Source organism: Homo sapiens, chromosome 12 (genome assembly GCF_000001405.40).
Source record: "Homo sapiens chromosome 12, GRCh38.p14 Primary Assembly".
Classification (NCBI taxonomy): domain Eukaryota; kingdom Metazoa; phylum Chordata; class Mammalia; order Primates; family Hominidae; genus Homo; species Homo sapiens.
The window spans coordinates 127,049,921-127,074,746 of NC_000012.12; the positions used below are offsets into that span (position 1 = coordinate 127,049,921).

Here is a 24,826-nt window from a genome sequence, read left to right on the forward strand (position 1 = left end):
AGAACTTAAACAAATTTACAAGAAAAAATCAAACAACCCCATTAAAAATTGGGCGAAGGATAATAACTATACACTTTCAAATGATGAATATTATGGTGTGTGAATTATATCTCAAGAAAGCTGTTATGAACAAACTATTCCTTCTGAACTTCCTTAACTATCTTGCCTACCTGGAAATGCAGTGAGCATCTAGGTAAACTTTATAGAAATAGGGAGTATGAAAAAGGAACAAAATATAAAGTGGCCATCTTTTCCTAAAAAAAGGAGTTAATAAGTTATTTCATCTAATTTACTTTTATCACAATAAAGATACCATGAATGTGTCTTTGAATTTTTAATGATTAGTTGTGTCCGGATAAAGGCTAAAATGCTATTTAGAAAGCAATTTAAACAATAAAAACCCCAAAAGCATGATTTCGGAGCAAGTTAAAGCAGCCATGGAGTCAGGGAGAACTTTTACCTTATGTTTGTATATTAATTATCTTTGGTTGCATAAATCATTGGCCCCTGAACTTGACAAAAACGATATTACAGAATGTTATTGTTCTTAACAATACAATTCAAAGGTAGACATTATATGTATGTTATATATAATAATATTTATATATTATGTATGTAATATAATATATATACTATATTTGTATACTGTAATATATATAAAATGTGTATATATACATTATATATATATAATGACTCTCTCAGAAAACAGGTTTAAGTTAAATATTGCAACACATCTTAGGTTTCCATTGATTTGCAAACATTTGTACCAGCACCAGCTGTTGAATGCCTTTCTGAGCACTGCCATGCACATAGCTAAATTTGGCAGTTTAAAACAACAGAAATGTATCCTCTCCCCAATCTGGAGACCTGAATTCCTCAATCAAGATAAACAGAAGTTGAATTCTACCAGCCTATAGTTGATGCTTATTTCTTTTTCTGTGGATCAGAGAAACTTCAATGGTTGCGTGATTTCTGTTTTTCTATGTCTGTGAAGCCATGCTCAGTGTGTAAACCAAGAATTATTGAAAAACCTAGAGCAGGGGTCCCCAACCCCTAGGCCATGGACCAGTACCAGTTTGTGGCCTGTTAGGAGCTGGGCCTCACAGCAGGAGGTTAGTGACAGGCAAGCATGACGCAAAGCTTTAGCTGTATTTACAGCCACTTCCCATTGCTCTCATTACCATCTGAGCTCTGCCTCCTGTCAGATCAGCAGTGGCAATAGATTCTCACAGGAGTGTGAACCCTACTGTGAACTGTGCTTGCATACGAAAGATCCAGATTGTGAGCTTCTTATGAGAATCAAATGCCTGATGATCTGTCACTGTCTCCCATCACCCCCAGATGGGACTATTTAGCTGCAGGAAAATGAGCTCAGGGCTCACACTGATCCTACATTATGCTGAGTATGTAATCATAGTAGAAATAAAGAGCACAATAAATGTAAATGCACTTGAATCATTTCCAAACCATTCCCTGTCCACGGAAAAATTGTCTTTCATGAAACTGGTCCCTGGTACCAAAAAGGTGGGGACTGCTAACCTAGAGTACTAAGAATTCATTTGTTGCCTTCTAGTTTTCAGGCATCTGAGTAAGAAAAACATTTTCATCTCGTGATCCTGGTCAGGAGATATGCACTCGGAGGAGAGGTGAACAGATGCACACGGTCAAAAGCACAACAGTAACCTGTGTTCCCTTTGCCCACTGAGGTGCCTTAGTGCACACTGTGCTGAGTGGGACTGTGTTGAGCAGCAGCTGGAAATATGCTGGACTCATATGAGGACCACAGGCCTGTGGCAACAGGACTTAGAGCTCATCTGAGATTGGGAAATTAAGAAAGGAACCAGAACAGTTAGTTTGTCCAAGTCCCTGCAAAATTATGTTTTTGTAAAATGTCACTAAATTACCATAGCCCAAACGTTCCCACGATTACGTAAAATAAATACGTTAACTCAAACTAGTAAAGTAGTCTCATGCAAGATATATGCAATGAATAAAAGATGAGCCTTCTTCTTCAGCTATACTGGTTCTTTCAAATTCTAATAATATGTATTCCTTTTATTCAAATGGAAGTTTTTATTCCAGTTTTAAAATTATAATCATGATTTGTTGGGACTTCTGGAATGGTAGAAGGAAGAAATCCTCTCTCCAAAACAGGAAAGAAAAGACAGACGAAGCTATAAAAAAAAAACAACTCTTTCAGAAGCCTGAAAGCTCATAACCCATTGTTGAATGAGAATGCTGATCACATGTCTTCAGTTTTGGTTTGCACAGCTTCTTATTAAAATAAATTTATTATTAAAATCAAATTTTTTACCAGAGTCAAAAATAGCACCATCTGCTCATCACATACTTGTTAAAAGTCTATTTCCACAATACCAACCATTGTTTCTGCAAAATATCATTACCTCCTCTATGATTGGGAAGCTGGCTCTGGATGGTGTGAATATAGAAACAACATCAGGAAAGAAGAAATACACGCTATTTTCTTAACAGCTTTGTCAACTTTTTGATTGGTACTGGAAACATAATGAGAGCAGCCACAATGCATTGAAAACAGTCTTTGTAGCGATTTAGGGATTGTGTGTGTTTTTTCCTCTGTTTTCTTATTGCCTTTTTTTTTTTTTTTTTAACACTGCATTTGCTTGGTCAGATGCAATGTTCTTAAATACCCACCAGCACCGAATCCTTGCAGGGAACTCAGTATAAGGAAGCATGTGGGAAGCCCCTGGGTAGAGGACAGTGCAGGTTGTGCAAAGATTATTCATAATGAATCAAAGCCCTAGCAGAGGCAGATGGTTTATCTGTGGCATTTGTACAGTATACGCTGAGTGCACTTAAATGTAATAAGGGAGCTATAATATGCTAGTCAATTTCCATCTAGTTAAAAAATCATGTGCAATTAATTCCATCGAAATATTCTCTCTAGCTTTATAATTCTCAGTGCAATGCTTTGTGCAAAAGGCTCACCAGGGAATTTTCTCTTACTGTATTTCCCCAGGGAACATGCTTAGGAGCTTTCTCCCTACTGTTATTGGGTCTCTGTTCCTTCCCGCCCCTTGTGAGTAATCAATGACTAATGAGAATTATAGACAAAGGACTGAGTTTTTCGCTCATGTAAAGAGAATAATGGGAAAAACACACGTTTTTATTGCCTTTTCGGTATAGATCTGCCTGAGTCACCAGGAAATTACACAGAGGCCTGTAGGTATAAAGCCAAGACAAGGTGTGGGCTGCTTGGTTGCTAACAAGTGAAGTCAGGTCACTTATATGGCATTGAAGATACAGAATAAAGTCATTGAGGCCACAAGATGCAAGTTAGTTATCACAAAGTTGAGGGTATAAACAACCTCCCATCACAAACATGATTTCCACCATAGGTGAAAAGCCATTTGGCCATGTAAGTTTCCTTATTCAACTACTATCTCAGCTTTTCAATTTCCGTCTTCGGCTATAATTTCTTGCCTAGCCTAGAGGCTATCGTCGTTCACATGCTGAGATAGCCTAGGACTACAGCAAGAGAGGAAGGATGGACAGGAAGGTCACTAGATTTTTAGAAAAGTTACTATGTCTGGCCTTCAAAACAAATTCAATAGAAATGAATAAATATAATAAAAATTCCAGCTAGGTGCTCATCCCTGAGCCGGAATGGGCTCTCCCGTTGTTAGAGAGGGGGATTAAAAAGTTAAAAAAACACATCTTCACCAAACAGATTTTCTGCTTCATGCAACCAGGCAGACTAAAGGAGAATTATAATGGGAAATGGTTTTTCACCATATGGTTTAATATCATTTAATATGGAGGCTGGTGCCACCTAAAATCACCTCTCATTGCAGCTGAGGCACACGCTGTCTACCTAGGGGCACCAGTAAGCTCTAATGGCTTCATTTTACCATCTGAGATAAGTGATTTATCCAAGATGTATGGAAGATGAGAACACACGACACTAATCTCCAAGTTGATGGTGGTTCTGCCATATTGATCATCTTTAAAAACACCAAGACATTTAGGAATTTTAAATATCAGTATCCAGAAAACTAACTACTTGGAGTATGCAATGACATACACATTTGAGTGCTAGCTATGGGCACAAGATTCAGGGAGATATTGGCTTATAGAACAAGTACGACACCTGCAGTTTTGGAGTTTTAAACTTCGTGTTTGATTAAACAGAAAACAATAGCAACAACAACAAAGCCCAATTTGAAGGCAAAGCAAAAGCATGCAATTTTCTTCAAATACAGTAAGACTCCACTTGTTACTGAGAACAGTTCTTGCCTTCATCGATTCATAGATCTCATTCTCTGAAAACACACGGTCCCTCAATTTGACTCAATCCCTTCATGATGAAAATGCATCATTTACATATGTGGAGTATGTCATCATTTAATCAAACAGGCAGAGGATAGTAGTAACTTGATTTTTAACAATATAGTAAAAACACATTTAATTGCACCCTTTTGACCTATAGAAAATCAATGTAATTTTACATTAAACTTGATTTCAATTCTGTTAGATTGCTAAACATATTTCTGAGAGTATGTTTAAGGATGTGAAACAACACACGCAATATTAAAATGTATCCAGACAGGGATCATCTCGCCCTGATCCCAGGACACCATTTGCACGTGGAACTCTCATTTGCTTAACGGGAAAGATGCCCCTGCAACAGTGAGGGAGCTGCCTGCAGGAAGGAGGAAGGTAGGAGGAAGGGTTACAATTATGTTTTCCCTATCATTAGTCTTCATTCTTGAATTCATAAGTCAAAGCCAAGGTCTACATTCCTCACAATGCTGAGACATTAGTGGAATGTGGAAAAACATCCATCCTCTTAGACTGATAATGTCCTTAATGTGCCAGGAGGCTTTCTGTGCTGTGCCTCATGGCCAATTATACAAGTTCATTCTTCCACGCCCGCCTCTAGGTTCAGACGTGAAGTCCATGTTGTGAATGTAAAAGCAGACCCCTATGACCTTCACGAGATGGGTTTCTAAACATACTTAGAAGCAAGTCCCCACCCCCACAATCCTCACTGTACACACAGAAAACAGACAGCTCTCCTGGGATAATTCAGTATAGCCCAATTCCTAAACCAATCCCCAAAACTAGAGGTTGAAACCGATAGCTCGAGGCCATATTAGCCCCCCATGATTGGTGTCTCAATCCTTTTGTGTTGGCCTGTTCAAAGTTTAAAAAAACTTAATTACCTATTTAAAATGAGGAGTGGGGTGAAAACATCATATCAAATTCTAGGTTTCTGCCTTCTCTTGTGAAATAAAAACGAAAACATAATATTTGCTCATGATACTACATTGCTGCCTGGAAACTACTAAGAAAAAAAAGAGTATTTATTACCTTTGCACAGGGCTTAGACTGTTCCTATTCCCACTGTCTTCAGTCTCCATGATTCCTTTAAATCAACTGATCAATTGATCAATCAATCAAGCACAAACATACATATTTTTCATGTACTTCCTTCTTACATGATTACATAAGTCCTTCTACTTATCTCATTTATTTTATTTATTCAACTTGAGCTGTCTCCTTGGAACACTCTTCACGGTTAAACATGGAAGCTCTACAGTTCAGTGGCCTGAGTTTGATTCCTGACCTTGATTTGTATCCATGGCATGACCTTGGGGAAGGTCCAGAAGTTTGGGGAGCCTATTTCTTGAACTGTAACATGGGGATAATAATAGTAGCTACCTCTTTGGGCCACTGTGAGAAGCAACGAGATACCGTGTAGGAAACAGCACCAGGCCTGGGGAAACCCTGCAGTGCCTGCTGCTGCTGCTGATGTGGCTACTGTCCCTGTTGCCATTCATTCTCTCATAAAGTCGGTTTCAAAAGGAAGGCTCAAATGCACTATTGTCCTTCCCTCTGCCTTCATCAAGCACAGAAACAGAGGGAGACTGACAGCCACACCTTATATTTACCATCCTGACACTGTCTTCCCCACAGCCTTGGGCTCTAAGCTGGAGGAAACCGGCAGTGCTTTCTTGTGGGGAAGATGGGGCAGGCCTGCCAGGCAAAAGGGTTTTGACACAGCAGCCTAAAAATAAGAAGGTTTCTCAAAAATTATGATGGAGAAAAGTAGAGATTCTGTAAGTATTAAGTTAGTGCAAAGGTAATTGTGGTTTTTCCCATTATTTATTTATTTATTGTTATTATTATTTTTTGAGAGGGAGTTTTGCTCTTGTTGCCCACGCTGGAGTGCAGTGGCACGATCTCGGCTCACTGCAACCTCCGCCTCCCAGGTTCAAGCAATTCTCGTGCCTCAGCCTCCCGAGTAGCTGGGACTACAGGCGCCCGCTACCACGCCCAGCTAATTTTTTGTATTTTTAGTAGAGATGGGGTTTCACCATGTTGTTCAGGCTGGTCTCGAACTCCTGACCTCAGGTGATCCACCCACTTCGGCCTCCCAAAGTCCTGGGATTACAGGCATGAGCCACCATGCCCGGCCTATTTATTTATTTATTTAGAGACAGAGTCTCCCTCTGTCCCCCAGGCTGGAGTTGAGTGGCACTATCTTGGCTCACTGCAACCTCTGCCTCCCGGGTTCAAGCCATTCTTCTGCCTCCGCCTCCTGAGTAGCTGGGATTATAGGCATGCACCACCACACCCAGCTACTTTTTGTCTTTTTAGTAGAGATGGGGTTTCATCATGTTGGCCAGGCCGGTCTCAAACTCCTGACCTCAAGTGATCCACCCGCCTCGGCATTCCAAAGTGCTGGGATTACAGATGTAAGCCATGGCTCCCAGCCTTGCCATTACTTTTAATGGCAAAAACCACAGTTACTCTTGTATCAAGCTAGCAGGTTCCTTCAACATACTGTTGTAGTAGGTTTCTTGTACTGTTCTAGTAGGTTCCTTTGGCGTACTGTTCTAATAGTTTCTTTCAGTGTACTGTTCTAGTAGGTTCCTTCGGCGTACTGTTCTCCTTGTTGGAGCTGCTGATACCTGGCCCTGTACCCTGCTGATCCATTCCCCAACAGTCACATATCCACTTATTCACTCATGTGGAATTTCTGTTTGATTTGGGAACTGCTTTGTGACAGCGCAATGCTCAATGCTGGGATGGTTGAGCTGAAATGAGACAAACATGGTCCCGATGCTCAGGGGAGGTCATTCTAGGGGCAAGGAGACTGCAATAAGCAAATAAACTAATGACATTTCAGACACTGGTGAATATTATTACAAAAATAAACTCCAGACAATAGTTTTTAAAGATTCTTGGGGAAGGTCTCCCTAAGGAGGGAAATCTGAATGAAGAGTTAGTCAGCCATGGAAAGACCCAGAAGATGAGACTCTAAGCAGGTGACCCAGTGCAGAGGCCCTGGGGTTGGCACCAGGTCCCATGTTCACTGATCAGATGGGCCTGTGTGGAAGATGCCAAGCACACATTATCTCATGCAATTGTTCCAACAACCCAGTGAGATGGATAAACTATTATCCCCATTTTGAGGATGCAGAAACGGAGGTATGGGGAGGTTAATAGTTCCCCTGTAAGTGAGGGAAAGAGAAATTCAACTTAGGTAGTGTGTTCTTCCTTCCAGAAGCGAGATGCTCAGTTACTTAGCTCTGCAGGTCAGCTTCGTATTCAGCTTCCTGCTGGGCTTCTGTGAGCCTGGTGTCCCACCTGACTGACCCACCGTCAGCTCAGCCCTTTCCCTGTCCACCTCAGTTCCAACTGCTCCATGTCTGGCCACCCTCATGAAACTCGCCAGTTTTGATTTCTGTTCAAATAACCTTGGATAGAAAAGGGACTGCTATTGGAAAATGAAACCATGCTGAGCACAGACTTCAATAAAAGATGGATCTCACGTTTGTGCAAGAATATTCCAAAGTGGTACATGGGGGCTATTTCTATTTTTTCTGTTCAGTGTTCATGGTGTTTCCCCCAACTCTGTGCATGAAGACTGTAGTTAGCTTTTAGAAAGACTAAATATGCCATAGCTATACAAACTTCTTTTTCCCTTAAAACATGGGAAGCCTTAGATGTAAAAATAGCCGTTAAATCTTTATTATTTCTACTACTTGGAAGAGGAGCTTGCATAATCCACTCGGGTTGTGTATACATCATCTCCACCCCTGCTTAGTTGTGAATTGTCTCAAGAAGAAAATATTGGATACCACCCACTAATCACCCATTAACAAGCACATATAGGTTGTGATACAAAGAGCTCTTTAAGTGGATTAATTGAAAGCATCGCTGAATGAGCTGGAGGATTTCAGCTAATGACTTTGAAAAAGCACTTGAAACAATTAATGGTGACTAATGACACTAAATAGTATAATAAATACCACTGTTGACATTTTGATAGGAAAAGTCACCAGACAGAGGTCGTCCTTATTTCAGAAAGTGGAAGCAGCACCCAGGAGAAGTTTCAAGTCAGGACAGTCTAACAAAATGATCTAATTCTTGCTTACTCTTAGTCCCAAAAAGGCAGGCTTTCATGGTCTGGATAAAAAAGTGTGGAGTACACACCCTAGACCCCAATCAAGTCCATTCCTAGCCTGCAACCTGTGTTCTGTTGTCTCGCACAGTTGGGAAAGGCATCTTCAGTCTCTGAGCTTCCCACGCACATTTGCTGGAATTGTCTTTCAAGGCACAGAAGCCTAAAACTCTGCGATGATTGGCCAGGCGCAGTGGCTCATGCCTGTAATCCCAACACTTTGGGAGGCCGAGGAGGGCGGATCAGTTGAACTTAGGAGTTCGAGACCAGCCTGGCCAACATGGCGAAACTCCTTCTCTACTAAAAACACAAAAATTAGCCGGGTGTGGTGGCAGGTGCCTAAAGTTCCAGCTACTCAGGAGGCTGAGGCAGGAGAATTGCTTGAACCTGGGAGGTGGAGGGTGCAGTGAGCCAAGATTGCACCACTGCACTCCAGCCTGGGCAACAGAGCAAGACTCCATCTCAAATAAATAAATAAATAAATAAAGCAAAACAACCCGTTATGCTCTAGTAGGGTCTCCTTAATCCTCTGGAGCCTGACGTGGAGTTCTTCTTAATGTCTTAGATCTCGTTTGGACTTATAAAATATTTTAGTTTTGTTTTTATCTTTTTGTTTTTTGGAAACAAGATCTCACTCTGTCTCCCAGGCTGGAGTGCAGTGGCAAGATCTCGGCTCACTGCAACCTCTGCCTCCAGCATTCAGAGGATTCTCCTGCCTCAGCCTCCTTAGTAGCTGAGGCTACAGGCATGCGCTGCCACCCCGCCTGGCTAATTTTCGTATTTTTGGTAGAGATGGGGTTTCACCATGTTGGCCAGGCTGGTGTGGAACTCCTGACCTCAAGTGATCTGCCTGCCCCTCAGCTTCCCAAAGTGCTAGGATTACAGGCATGAGCCACCATGCCCAGTCCTGCCCCGCCTTTTTTTAAATTTAGCTTTTAAGTTCACAGGTACATGTGCAGGTTTGTTCTATAAGTAAATTTGTGTCATGGGGGTTTGTTTTATATGTTAGTTTTTTTGATTTCACTAATTTTTGTCCATCTTACTTCCAGTTGTGTTCAGTAGGAGTTTTGGTTTTCTGAGAATTACAATTAAAAAAAAATTCATAGTTATTCATATGCTTATTAGCTATTTCATCTATTTCCTGATAATGAAATTTTTGGATATGCCTTCAAGTTGAAATTAATAAATCCAGTAGCATATTCCAACTACCTCTTACCTCTTTATCATCTCTGAGTTAGTACAAATACATATCTGGGCCATGAGAGTAATGGGTGAATGTAAAATATAAATTGAAGCTCATTTTCACAATGATACAAATAATAATAAGGCCAGCCCATCCTCTGTCTCAAACATTTTCCCCAGGTCCTGAGGATGCCACCTATTTCCAAAGTAGACTTGCCATTTCAGAACAGAACAGATATTTTTCAGTCATTGCAGTTGTTGGGGCACTGATGTAGGGAAGGTTAATAAAATCCATAGATTAAAAAGCCACTGCCTTTTTTTTTTTGCCATGAACCCAGAAAGAGTTACTAACAATCACCAATATTTCATGTTTCGGGTTTTGTTTCCTCCCTAAAAGTTGACAGATTTTAAAGTTCAGAAAAGTGACAGAGCAGACAAAAGGAGTTAGAATCTTAAAAAAAAAAAAAAAAAAAAGTCTTCTGATGAGAAAGCAGAGTTTCAGTCCACTTTTAAAAAAGGAAATTCAGATTACCTTGAATAAGCAGCTTCAGCAGTATTTACACATCAGCAGCCGATCTCCGCACAGTTTTCCTAAGTGCTCTCGCCTACTTTTTTGACTGTGATAATTACCACTACCCTAGAAAACACCTTCCTCTATTTCAGGGACAACTTGAGTCCTAAAGCCAATATACAGTAGAGGGGACTGAAGTCCTCCGCACTTGTCCTGCAGACTGTGCTCATTCCGCTGAGCCCCGAGCTGTCTGAGGGAGAGGAGCTGCATGCGGCCATTTCCATTCTCTCCCTTCCGCTTCTCTAGTGGATAATTCCTGCTGGCCATTTAACACTCAAGCCGGAGTGCTGGGAAAGGAAGAGCACGGTCCCTTTAAATGATACGGAAGCCGGGAAGGAAAGCGCGGGGTAGAAAGGGCAGAGTCCGTGACTAGGCCTCTAGCCCCAGGGACCTAGGCGAGGACAGGCACTCCTGCTTTTCCAAGAGCACCCTGGCCCGCCACGCCCCCAGCCTGGGCCTATAAACACCCACGACCCTAGCAAGGCAGAGACAGAAGCTGCTGGAGGGCGAGAGGAACGCATCAGTGGAAGAAGACAGAAGCGGCTGGTCACGGAGAGCATGTCAGCAGAAGAACACACCTACAGACGCCGGCTCGCCCGCGGGCTCCCCGGCAGGCCATCGACCGGTGGGACGAGGTGGAGTTTGTCCTGGGCAGTAGGAGGACAGCCCGGGCACCCAGCGGCCCAACTCCAGGGGAAAGCCATCTCCCTTCTGGAGCTGCCCAACTCCGGGGGAAAACCATCTCCTTTCTGACTCTCCTGTCGGTGGAGAGTTACTTCCACTCAATACGATTTTGCAGTCATTCTCCAAGCCCACGTGTGATCCGATTCTTCCGGTACACCAAGGCAAGAACCCGGGATACAGAAAGCCCTCTGGCCTTATGACAAGGTAGAGGGTCTAACTGAGCTATAGACCGTGAACTAAGAGCGCACCCTGGAACACACGCCCTCTGGGGCTTCAGCTGTAAACATCCACCCTTAGACACTGCCATGGGGTTGGAGCCCCACAACCTGCCCATCTCTATGCCCCACTAGAGGTATGACCAACGGGGCACTGAAGAGGCGAGCACACCCCATCGCACGCCCTGCAAGGGGGACGGGGGAACCTTTCCCATTTCAACACCACCGCTGTGGCTGCATGTGGCTGCCATAAGAAAAAGAACCCATTCTTTGGCACAGCTGAAGCAGGACTCTTCTCGTTGTTCTCCAGGTAGGTTCCTCCCCGTGGAACTTTGTTATCCTCATCTGTGTTTTGCCTGGGGCACCTCCTTCAGGTAGCCAGTTCCTTGTTGGACTTGCCCCAGGGGTTAGATGGCAATTCAGGTGGTTCCTGCAACCCAGAAGCAGGACAGAATCTTGTGCGACAGTATTTTGCCTAACTGCTTGAAGGCCCTTCATTCCTAGGGACAAGTTGACATCAACATTCAAATATAATGAAAATTGTTGAGCATCTTTCCTAGGCCACTAGGAAGGGAAAAATGCATGGTGCTACAAATCATTGGGTTTTACTAGCCAATGGGTAAGTGGGGAAAAGGAGTCTTTTTATTTATACTTGTTTGTTCTCCTCTAGATATTTCAGAAGATGTGTAAGATGACACTGAACCAATGGTATTACGTCCCTCTCTTAGTTTTTACTATTGAAAGTATTCCTCCTTCATATCATCTCAGAAAATACATAGTGATAGGCTTACGGTGACAGTTCTCTTTGGTCATGAGAGCAAAACGCAGAGCAGTGGAATTAAAGGACACCTGGAACTTAAGGCCTCTAATCAGGCCATGTAGATACAGGATGGTACATTTGGGGACATTCTTCACTCAGGTTTTTAAGGAAAACACATTATTTTCGAGGACATACACACAGGCGTTGTAAACAGATAAACAGTTTCCAATAAATGACTCTTTTGGGACCCAGTTTTAATGGTAAAATCAGTATGATGTTTATTTAACCGATGTTGTGGGTAAACCAGATGCCCTGCCTCTGGTATCCCTCAGATTCTCTTTCTCTTCTGTGTCCAAACACAGGGCTCCAGCCCTCCCCCTCCTTACACAGTGGGGATGTCAGCACCACAGCCTCCCTTTGCTTCTGTGCCTGGGAGGAAGGAAGATGCCTGCTCTTGTTCTTACCCCTGCCTCTCCCTCCATCTCTGGGTTCCTGTACCTCCCATCATAGTACTGTTTTGTTTTGTTTGTGTCATAATAGACACCACCCTGATCTCATTTAATCACCTAAAGGAAATCCTTAAGCAATGCAGGTGTCACAGATTTACTTTAAGGCTTCAAGGGTAAAGAAAGGGACTGAAACAAGAAGAGTAAATACAATAAAAATCTTGATAATAGGGTATAACTGTGTCTCCTTTGTTAGAGGGCAGGGTGAGCGGGGGGAGCGGGAGGTAACTCAGAGACAGAAAGTTAAGGGTGCAGACTCTAAGAAAGGCTCTGTCTTTCTTCCCACTCCCTCCTTCCATCCATCCCCTCCCCTTCCTCTCTCTTCCCTGCTCCTCCATCTCTCATCTCTGTTCCTAGAAGCTGCAACTTCAAGTCCACCATTTCTCCTTTATTTCTTTCAAGATATAAATTAACTGTTTTGCTAAACCACTTGTCACCATACCCAAAGCTTTATATGTTTTTCAACAACGTATACTCAAGTGGTTCCCTAAATAAGAGAGTTCGGAAAGTCTGAGATGAATGGAAATCTTCCCATAACATATGGAAGTAGGACAAAAATGATGCTTTACGACAGCAAAACAAACACAGAAATAAAATGTCCCATTCCTACGGGAACTAGTGCTCCTAGGTATCATCAGAAAGCTGGTTCTATTAAGTAGGCTCCCCATTTCCCTTTCCTTTTTATATCATTTTTAAAAAGCATGAAGTATTGCTAAATTGGAGTCAGCTTGGCAAAGTCTTACACTGTCCCAGGAGTTATAGGTATGGTATGCCATGACTATTTTAGACCGTGAAACACATTTTCTACTTTAGGAAATTACCATAGGTGTGAATTATGGTCCTAATATTCACTGTGAGTAGCAGTTGTTCTTTTCAGGTATCTCTATCTATAAAATGGGTACACGTCACATTTTCAAGTGGTATTTATAAATCACCGTGTTCTGGTTTGCACAAACCCTCCCGTGCTGCAGTCGACCTGATTTACTCGTTTGTTTTTGTCACTTCTCTGTTGATGCGGCCCCTGGAAAATTGCACAAATTCTGTTTTAATTGAACCCATGATCAGTGCTACAAAGGAGGGAAAAAGGGAAGGCCTGTTATGTAACAGATGAGTGTCACCTGGTTTCCTAGTTTCAGCCCTGAACACGTCTCCGAGTCACGCTGGAGGCGTAAACAATGGATAGGGCAGGCAGGTGAAACCCATCTTCCCGCCGAGCTTTACAGACTAATTTCAAGCTCCATCAAATCATGATTCATCTTTGCTTGGCGACGGACATATTATTCTGACTAAATACATTTGTTTCGAGGAGCTGCTATGCTTCGAAAATCGTGTGCACAAGGGCTGGACAGGACATTCCAGTTATTGTGAGGGTTTTAAAACTGGTGAAAAATGTGCCCGTGGCTAAGAATAATGCAAATCCTGATGTGTTAACTTTAAGCAACACGCTGAGCCGTGACAGCATTTAATTATTTAGCTGTGGTAAGGCAAAACGTTTCCAGGTCGGACATACTGCTTGACTTGACTTTCAGAAATTTAATGCTGCCTTTCCATAGAGTGACACCATTTGACAAGGCCAGGACACACGTCACCCAGCCTGCTCCTGCCTGCCCTGACCTCCTCCATTAATGCCCTTATTACTGATATAAAAGGGACACATTTAAATGTTTCACGAAGAAAAAGCTCCTGAAGCTTTCAGGAAACATAGCCCAAGGTCAAGGAAGTTTGCTTTAAGAGCAATCTGACCTCTCTTTCATCCTTTTTTATTTTTTTTTTAATTCCAAAAAATTACTTCATTTTTAGTACGCTTCTTTAAGTCTATAGTTGCTTCTCAGCTAAGTTAGATATCTCAATATTTTTATGAAAGCAAAGAAACAAGGCAGAGAGGGTCCTACAGTTTCTCTGCACAAAGCCACATGCTCTCTTATAGCTCACAAGTAAGATCTCTTTTTAAATAACAATAAACACTGTTGATTAGGCACCTTCTGTGTGCTAGGCTCTAGGCTGTATACCAAGTGCTTTAGGGATTTTGTCTCATTTACTTCTCAACTTTGTAATGAATTATATGGCTAACGTTGATGGAGAATTTATTATCTGCCAGGCATGCTTCTAAGACACGTGACTTGGCTGGTGCGGTGGTTTACGCCTGTAATTCCAGTACTTTGGGAGGCCAAGGTTGGTAGATCACTTGAGGTTAGGAGTTTGAAACCAGTCTGATCAATACAGAGAAACCCTTTCTTTACTAAAAATACAAAAATTAGCCTGGCGTGGTGATGTGTGCCTTTTATTCCAGCTACTTGGGAGGCTGAGGCAGGAGAATTGCTTGAACCTGGCAGGCGAAGGTTGCAGTGAGCTGAGGTCATACCACTGCACACCAGCCTGGGCAACAGAGAGAGACACTGTCTCAAGAAAAAAAAAAAAGGGGGGGGTGGGGAGAGGAAAAAGGAAAATAAAAATACGTGATTCATTTTTTAATCTTGTGAAGTAGATGACACGTTTTGGTTTCCTATTGTTGCTTTAAAAATTACTATAAACATAGATGCTTAAGAGAACACAAATATATCCTCTCACAGTTTTATAGGCTAGAAATCCAACACAGGCCTCCCCAAACTGAAACCAAGACCTTGGCAGTCTTGAGCTTCTGAAGCTCTGGGATGCATTAGCTTTGAACTTAATTTAGGCTTTTGGCATCATTGAGTTCCTTGAGACTGTAGGGCCGAGGTTCCATTTTCTTGCTGGCTGTCTTCTGGGGGTCTTTCTGAGCATTTAGAGGCCACCCATATTCCTTGGTTCATAGCATGGCCTCCTTCCTCCATCTCCATGGCAAGTCCAGACCTTCTCACACTTGTAAAATCTCCACTTTCTCATCTGTCTCATTTGAACTCTGCTTTCCTCTTCTGCTACATATCTTTGACTTACAAGCAGAGAAAGTTCCCTGCTTGTAAGAGCTCATCGATTATGTTGGGACCACCCAGATAATCCAAGATAATCCTTCTGTTTCAATTTCCGTAACCTTAATCACATCCGCAAAGTCTTCTTAGTGGTGTCACAGATCCTGGGGATTAGGACTTGGACATCTTTGGCCCCCAGTATTCTGCCAATGCACCATTAGTCTTCCAGATCTAACAAGGTTAGAAATGAGGCTAGCTATAAAACAATTGTTTGCCCATGAAAAAAGAGCTTATAAATGGTAGCACCAGAACAACACAGATCTCCCTTACCTCGTCACATATCCATCAGCAACCTGCAGCCCACAGAGTTTATTCAGTGCCTCAGTTCTCCAAATGCACATTTATATTCCGTTTCAAACATGGTTCCATTCCTGAGAAATCATCAGTCATCAAACACAGGAGGTGAATGGGCATCCAGTAGAAATATAGTCAAGTGTTTGGTAATGCAAACACACTATTATTTTTGACCAACATTTCTATCACTTAAAAATATTTGTAGAATTTCTTTTACAATAAGTTTTTTACCACATTTGTTCATTTTAGACATTTTAAACCAGCTCACAATGGCTGATGCAACATTAGCCTCCATGGGGCTTCACCAACTGTATTTATTACATTTGAAGACATATATGTGCTTTCAGTGGTTTTAATCTTTATAGCATTTAAATACTCTTCTGAAAAAGTAAAAATCTTAAGCTACTTGAATTCATTGTGCAAATAGATTAAGAGCAAGAGTCGTGATAAGACTGGGCTCAAACCCAGATTCTGTCACCTATTGGATGTGAGACTGTGAGCAGCTCACTTAGTCTCTTTTTATCTTTGTTTATCCATCTAGAAAAGGAGTGCAGTAAATAGTACCCAGCCCATAAGGTCATTATGAGAATTAATTGAATTTAGACAGATAGCATTTAGAACACTGCTTATCATGTGGCAAGTCACATGTAGGTGTTTGGTACTTTAGATGGGAAGGGGTTATTTTTACAATATTACTTTGTTCCCTAGCTCTACTGATTATTTTTTAAATTTCTAATCATGACTCAATATAATAATTATAGATAGACATTTTGATATTGTGTAGACATATGGAGGCAAATGTCGGGGTTATTGAAGTCATTCGAACTATTTGTTTCAATAATTAGAGGCTAAAATGGATGCTTTTGTAAGCTCTTGTTTTTGCTGTGTGTATGTGTGTATATATATTTCATTTTGTTATAGTGTTTATTTTTATTTGCTCTCGCATCACCTACCTGTTGCTCATTCCTGTTTCTTGATTTGCTGTTAACTTATCTTCTGTGGGTTTAGACACCAAATAGCCAATTGCACAATATTAATATTAATGTGCAAAATAACTTCTAAGATAGTAAGGTGCTAAGGGGCCTTCCTATGTGTATAGAACATGAGCTTCATGAGATTGGCTACTTTTGTTAGTTTTGTTTGATTTGGGCAGGTATTTCTACACTGTAAAAGAAGAGGCAGGAGAGGAGATTTGGAAGAATTTCCCCCTGAATCTGCATGTGATGGGAAATAGGAACACTCAAATTAATGATTCCTTCACAAGAGTGATTGTCCATGATGCTAGCCAAGAAAGCTCAAGTCTCACCACACTAACCTGTATGGTCATTCTCTTTCTGAACCCCCATCCCAATCACTTGCCGTAATTTGGATGGTATTAAGCAGTGCTCACCACAGTGTAGTATGTGCAGAATTCTTATTCACCTCATTGATATCACTAAGGCATGACTGAGTTATTGACATGTATGTGAATTTACTAATTGGTCTGCAACCAGAGGCCAGAACTAGACTGGAAGAGAAACGGATTCTGGTTAACACTTTACATAGACTAACATGTGTCTATCTCAAAGACCCAGTGACTGGCGAATGTCAAAGATCCTGGGGTTTAATGATCTTAGAGGTTTCCTGGTTTACTAATCTCACTTTAATCCTTTGGAAAAACTCTAAATCAAGGTAAAAGATAATTAGAAAGATTATGGAGTACTTGGCAGTTATGTTCTCAGTTCTACAATTTCCATTTTATTTTTACTCCATAAGTCATATTTTGCCAAATATATTAATCATGTTTGTTAATCAGTATTTACAAAATGAAATTTAATGAGTCTGCTTCTATTGATTTTCTCTTAGTCTAGTATATCAGAATTACTTTGGTGTTCTTATATCCTTTAATAAAGTTTTGAACATTTATATAAAAAAATTGAGACTCTGGGTATCATATTTTTCCAGAGAGATTTTATTTTAGTTTTGACCTGCCATTAGATTGGGTGCAGTTAACCTTCATCCAACCGTGGATTGAGTTGATTTGGGGTCTTACATCCAGTAGGTGATGGAATCTGAGCTCGAACCCAACATTCATTTTTGTCTTTATTATTTCTGGTTCACTGTTAACCCTAGGCCATAGCCATTCATTGCTCCCAATAGAGAGCCCAGGTTATTTGTATAAAGGCCCAACTTCTGGGTAGGCCTCAACACTAATGTTTGACCATGTTATAAGCACAACCTAAGCTCAGCTTCTTAGCCTTATAGAGCCTGCTTTCTGGTTGTGTTCTTACCACCTTACCCTGGTGAGTTTAAGAGATGGCAGATGTCTTACAGGCAAACAGAGGCTCAGTTTTGACTTATTCCCTATATTCTCCTTGTCTCTGGGATCACTGTCTGTCAAGAGTTGGTTGCCTTGGAAGGTCAGAACACCAATTCCTGTCTCTCAATCCTCTGTGGCTTCCAGCAGCTCTGCTGAGCTGTCACTTTGGGCTGAGCTTCTGCTCAGCCTCAGGGTCCTTCCCTCTTGCAGTCACAGTGAGAAAATGCTTCAAGGAGAAGAGTTTGGGCTTCATATCAATGAGTTTTTCTTTTCCAAAAGATCTTGTCTAAATCTTAGCTACCTTGGTATCTTCCTGACACTTTGAAACACTATTATTATTATTATTATTATTATTATTATTATTATTATTATTATTATTTGAGACAGAGTCTTGCTTTGTTGCCAGGCTGGAGTGCAGTAGTGCGATCTTGGCTCACTGCAACTTCCATCTCCTAGATTCTAGCAATTCTCCTGCCTCAGCCTCCCGAGTAGCTGGGACTACAGGCGCACGCCACCATGCCTGACTAATTTTTGTATTTTTAGTAGAGATGGGGTTTCACCATGTTGGCTAGGCTGATCTCAATCTCTTGACCTCGTGATCCACCCGCCTTGACCTCCCAAAGTGCTGGGATTACAGGCATGAGCCACCGCGCCCAGCCAAAACATCATTATTTTTAAATTCAGCTTTTGTAGTTGTTCCCAGCGGCAGATTTGGTTCTCTGCAAATAAATCCATCAAACTGAAAAAAAAAAAGTTCTCTCCCTACAATTGCAGTAAACGTTTTCTCTCATCCAATACCTAGCTCATTGATTCTTTTATTTTTATTTTTATTTATTTGTTTGTTTTTCACATTTCTCTGGTTTAGTTAGACTGATGCATATGTCTCCCAGCCTCTCAAAGGTTAATTCTGAGCAGAGAGTCTCAGAATCAGTATTGGATGCACATCTGAAAAAGAAAAAAATGCTTTCTCAATCATCTCATTCCAAATACAGTCATAGCATTTGGAACTACATGTTTATTTCAGCTCCTTCAATGAGTCTATAAGAAGCTAATTTTCACTTTGATTTTAGGGCAATAAAACACATCAAGTAACTTTTCCATCTTCAACAGAAGGTTTTTCATTAACATCTGCAAGAAACATTTCATTGGCATCTAAAGTGGTCCTTAAACCAGGGCCTAGTGAAAGGCAGGAAAATTCTTCAGTGATTAACATTAGCATTTTTTTCTCAACTGAAACACTCCTGGAATTGGAGAAAATGCCATTTAAATTTTAAGGGTTTGTTTCTGACAAAGTGGTGCAGGAACAGCAACTCAAAACCTGCAATGCCGCATGTTTTCTAATTCATGTCACAGCAGTCACCCTCTTCAAGTAGCTGTGCCCATGACTTCATAAAAGGAGCCAAAAATGCTGATTCCCCATTACGTTAGGTTTATCTTTTCAAAACCCAGAATCTAGAGTCAAATAAAGTCAAGTAGAGGCATCAATTTTGTTTTCCATTCAGAGACACTGTTTGCAAACTACAGTTGTGAATGCATTTATATCCAGATGGAACACTTGATGTTGAAGAGCTAGATTTGGTACACTCAGTTGGATTTTGGCGCAGATAATTTCCATATTCCCTGCATCCAGTTTCCCCTATTTATTTATTATTTTTGAGGCAGGGTCTTGTCTTGCCCTGTCACCAAGCTGGGTCTTGCTCTGTTGCCCAGGCTTCGGTGCAGTGGTGCGATCATGGCTCACTGTAGCCTGGACCTCCCAGGCTCTGGTTTTTCTCCCATCTCACCCTCCTGAGTATCTGGGACTGTAGGTGTGCACCACAATGCCCAGCTAATTTTTATATTCTTTTGTAGAGACAGGGTTTGTCATGTTGCCCAGGCTGGTCTCAAACTCCTGAGCTCAAGTGATTCACCTGTCTTGGCCTCCCAAAGTTCCAGGATTAAAGGCGTGAGCCACTGCACCTGACCTGGTTTCCACTATTCTAATTGCCTTTTTAACTGATGATATCTGATTGTACTTCTGCCCCTGTATCATTTTTTTCAAGTGGAGAAAATAAAATGTTTTAAAATAATAAAAACTGGAATTGAAATATAAAATGTCTGATGAATATCTGTTTGAGTTCTGGATATTTAAAAACCTTTTATTATATAAATTAAACTGAAATTGTCAATTAGTTCAGGTTTCAGTCATCACTAAAATTATACCTGGGCATTAGTTCTGTTTTGGAGTAGATTTAATGCTTTGGAGCTGCCTGATGAGAGAGATGATTGCTTCATTCTCTTGTTCCAGCACTTTGAAGCATTATTAACTCTCCCCGAAAATGACCACAGTCCTCTTTTTTGCTGGTAGAAAGATCAGTGTCAATTTTTTAAAATGCCTTATGAAAATTATAGACGCAAATAAATAAAAGACATCATGGGTTCAAATTGGAAAATAATACTAGAAGCAGACAGGAAAAAAAGCACAGATTGTTTTGAAGAAAAATTTACCAAAGTGATACATGATGGAACATTCGTGTTATCAGGTTCTCAAACTATTCCACTTTTACGAACTTCCAAAAGCACTGTTCCATCCCAGAGCTATCTGTGCTTTGTAATATCCCGGTTTATGAAACTGGTCACTGGGTGGTGTCTCTGGGGCAGCGCTCTCATTCACTGTGTCCTCTTTGAACTTGGGTGCAAAGGGAAAAGCATGGGTTGTCCTCCTGGAAGGATTCTCAGCCTCTGCCTTGCAACTGATGCAGGATTGCTGGTACTCCAGTGCCTCCTCCAAAGTGATGGATGGCACTTACCATCCTGCAAGACCCAGTTTGCAGGTGTCACCTGCACCAGCCCATCCACTATTAGTCATATTTGTCTTATCCCTTAACTTGGAACCTCTGCGTAGCTCCTGAATGTGCCTGGGTCTCCATGGCAACCACAACAGAAAATCAGGGCAGGAGCAAGGGATTCAGGGCCCATTTGTTTATGATGATTTTACCTAACTCACTGAAACGTGGAAATACAAGTGCTTGTTTGCAAAAAAAATCAATAGCTTTTTTTCCTTTTAAAAAATATTGCCCAAAAATGTTTCCTGTTGGTCACAGGAAAACAAGACTGGTGTCTGCTCAGCCAGTCCCATGACTCATTGCATTGAGTCTAAGGTAGTGTGTATGTGATGAACAGAAAAAGTAAGTAATTTAATGCATCTAATATACAAGCATGATGTGATTGTTGGAAAATAAATATAATAAAAATGTATATGTAGTATTATTCACCAATAACACAACCACAAAATGAAAGGGGTTCCTCTTTTCCCACTATCCCACTCCCTCAGGATGACTACTGCTAGCATGTCAATGTCAGTGCCCAGCCTTCCAGGCCCAAATTAACGGTTAAAACTCGAAGCATATAGTGAACAGGTCCAAGAAAGGAGCACTTGCAAAGCGTCACACTAAAGACACTGAAGACATCTGCAGTCGGTTTTCCCTCTGCCTGGAACATATTCTCTCATGCCTTTGCTTCACTGAAATCTCTGCTAAAATATTGTTTTCATAGAAAGAACTTTCCTGACCATCGTAACTAAAACAGCAACTCTTCCCCCTCTAGTTACGAGTAATTTGTATGTTTTTTTTCTGTTTCTCATTCCTTCAGAGCACGATCGTTTCCGAAAAAGTTATTACATCATTGTTTATGTATTTGCTTCATTAACCAGCTTTCCCTAATTGAATATAAGCTTCAGAAGAACAGAGACTTTGCCCCTTGGGGTCAGAGTTATATCACAATGTCACTGTATCAGTCACAGACTAGGACCTCAAAATGCATTTATTAAATGAATGAATAGATGGATAAATGGTAATCACCTGCTAAGCGAGTCTCTTCTCTCATATCCTGTGCTTACATTACAGCAGACGTTTCCAATCACTTGCAGCATTTTGCTTTTTCCACTTGGTCAGCCCAGCATTTGGGAACTCTTCTCTACCTATTACTCCAAGAAGCTACTGGCAGGTATTGGAACTGCTGCTCTGTAAGAAAACACCTGTTCTCCTGATCTGTGGCCTAACTTCGCAAACTACAGATCCTTGATATCAATAGATCACATGCTAATAAGATTGTCAAAGCAATTTCTATTTTCTTTCATTGCTTTCCAAAGCAGACTCACCTTCAGTCTCCATGAGATCAAGAAGGAACAGTGCAAAGGTGCATGGGATGATAATGGACCCGTTGCCAGTTTTAGAATCTGGTTCCCCAACTTGCTAGCATCTTTTTGCTTAAGTTTACTCTAAAATTGGGATGATAGAACTTCATACAGTTGAGTTGTGAGAATTTAATGGTAATAAATGTAAAGCACTTGGAAGTCTGTCACATGGTAATTTTATATGTTTATTATTATTTTGAGACAGGGTTTTGCTCTTTTGCCCAGGCTGGAGTGCAGTGGCACGATCTCTGCTCAGTGCAACCTCTGCCCACCGGGTTCAAGTGATTTTCCTGCCTCAGCCTCCCAAGTAGCTGGGATTACAGGCACCTGCCACCACACCCGACTAATTTTTGTATTTTTAGTAGAGATGGGGTTTCGCCATGTTGGCCAGGCTGGTCTCGAACTCCTGAACTCTGGCGCTCTGCCCGCCTTGGCCTCCCAAAGTCCTAGGATTACAGGTGTGAGCCACTGCACCTGGCCTATTATTATTATTATTGATGTTGTCGGTGTTGCTATTTTTATTGTGTTTTAATGTTCAATAACAAGGATCCGTATTATTTCTTCATCCATATCACCCAATACATAGCTTTTCTCTGCTGTTAATATGAACATCAAGTGTTACAGTTGTAAGTTCTAAAGGAAGTAGATTTCAAATGTTTTGACCACAACTCACATAGAGAAACACATTTTATATCTCGACCAATACATATGTGCACACAGCCATGTGTACACACACATATACTAAAGCAAAATTTCTCAGATATACATTTACCCTCCTTACCTGCTGCAATGTTGTCAAATATTTTCCATTCCATTCTATTCTGTTTGGCTCTGTTATCTTTTATTCTGACATAGCATATTCCATCTGATTTACAAAATAAATGTTAGTTTCAACCCACTAACTTTATTTCACAGCACTGCTGTGCTGTGACCCGTAGTTTGAAAGACGCTACCTTAAAAGCAGACCTGGACTTATAGAGAGGCAACACTGATTAGTTGTTTACCTGGTCCTCCTACCTGCTTTCTAAAGCCTGCATCAAATTTCCTATATTCAATTTTTATTTTTCCCCTCTGATTTCAGATTATTATATTTCTATAAACTTATTGGTTAATTTTAAAATTCTAACAGATTCTTAGGTTTATCCTAGAAAATTTTGTGCATAAAATGCATATATATATTTTTAATTTGTTTTCTGGTTTCAGGATATGTTCTTATTGATAAATTCTAATATTCAAAGTGTCTTTTAAAATCACTCTTACAGAAAAAAAAAAAACCCTCAATTCTCGGACTTAGATAATGTTTTCTGGAAAAAAATGGATAGAACAAATGGTCATTAGAACTTTCCACCAGGGAAGCATATTAGACATGACAAATACAATTTATTTCAAACATTTCCAAGGTTAGTTAGGCAAAAATAATAGTTGTGGTTATTGTTTTTTATTTGAGAAATGAATTAAAAAACAAAAATATGCAAGATATATTAATATATGGAAACTAATTCACACAATTAAAATGATTCCTGTTTAAATCCAGTTCTGCATATACAATTGAATGATTTTGGACAAGTCTTTGAAGCTTTCACTCTCTCAGAATCATGATATTCAAAATAAAGATGTGATTTCTACTAAATAAAGTTATTATAACAATATAATTTTATTGGCTATATTGTAGAGAAACATAGTGTTCTTGGGAGAAAGAAGACATTCACATAAAACCTTCATGAATCATCTAATTAGTTTTTTAAAGCTAAAGGGCCTGAAATATTTTATTTCCACAAAAGTGTTTATCTAGGACTTCAAGTTTTGAGCCATGCTAAGCAGTTTACAAGATGAATTGTTAAAGCATCTGCCCTCCGAAAATTTTAGACTTTTAATATCAATTTGGTCATTTTATACAATAAAAAACATCTCACTTTCATCTGTTTTTTATATAAATTATTACATTATTATTATTTAATAAAACATAACAATTAGGTTGCTTCAGAAATATATTAGCTTTCACTACGAGTTATTCTCTGTCAAGTACAATTTAGACTATGAGGAAAGGTTGTATCAGTAAAGAGACCTATTCATTTAATATTGAAAGAAACTGATACTGATGCACCATAACTTGGGCTCCAAGAATAACATTTCACTGAGGCTGTCCTTTATATTTCTATATTTTTGGTACTAAGGAGAAGAACCACATTGTAATTCTACCTTCATAAAGAAGAACTCCATTAGGAAATAGCATTCAACATAAGAAATTTCACTTTACAACCAGATTTCGTATAACTCATTAACTTTTATTGAAAATGCCTAAGGAATCCTTATATTTAAATGTAAAAAGAAAAAAATAAAAGCAGAATTGATAAAATCTTAATGAGGCATTCACAAAAGAAAGACATTTCCCTGGAGCAATTTAAAAGCAATTATTTCTTGAGCAGCAGAACTGTAAGAACATTAATTTCCAATGGTGACAATTCCATGACTAGTCATAAAGGTCAGGGGATTGTTTTGCTGCTGAAGGTCACAAACAAAAATTTATTTTAAAGTAGTCGTAGAAAAGCCTTCACTGCATTTCACTACGACAATGACATCTGCTCCACGTTCACTCTAGCGTTCTCTTCCAAGTGAGAAGAGGCATTGTTTAAATCCAGGTAGTATTTGGGCTAAGATCAAATGCTCAGCGGAAAAGGTGACAAGTTGTGGGTATTGCAATGGAAATGCATTAGGGAAGTATGTTAGCAGAATAATGTACT

General features: G+C 40.3%; 1 protein-coding gene and 1 long non-coding RNA gene across 4 annotated transcripts in view; one reads left to right on the forward strand and one right to left on the reverse strand.

Moving 5' to 3' along the window:
• The window catches only part of LINC02405 (long intergenic non-protein coding RNA 2405), a 145,171-nt gene extending 134,694 nt beyond the window's left edge, over positions 1 to 10,477 (reverse strand). Inside the window, exon 1 of the long non-coding RNA NR_104646.1 lies at positions 10,167 to 10,477. This is a non-coding gene — a long non-coding RNA (long intergenic non-protein coding RNA 2405). The remainder of the gene's footprint in view (positions 1 to 10,166) is intronic.
• A 103-nt stretch (positions 10,478 to 10,580) lies between these two features.
• LOC107984449 (uncharacterized) overlaps positions 10,581 to 24,826 on the forward strand; it is a 97,530-nt gene continuing 83,284 nt past the window's right edge. For all 3 annotated transcript variants that reach the window (XR_007063517.1, XM_047429960.1, XM_024449289.2), the window contains exon 1: positions 10,581 to 11,414. The gene's annotated coding sequence lies outside the window, so the exon portion shown is untranslated. The remainder of the gene's footprint in view (positions 11,415 to 24,826) is intronic.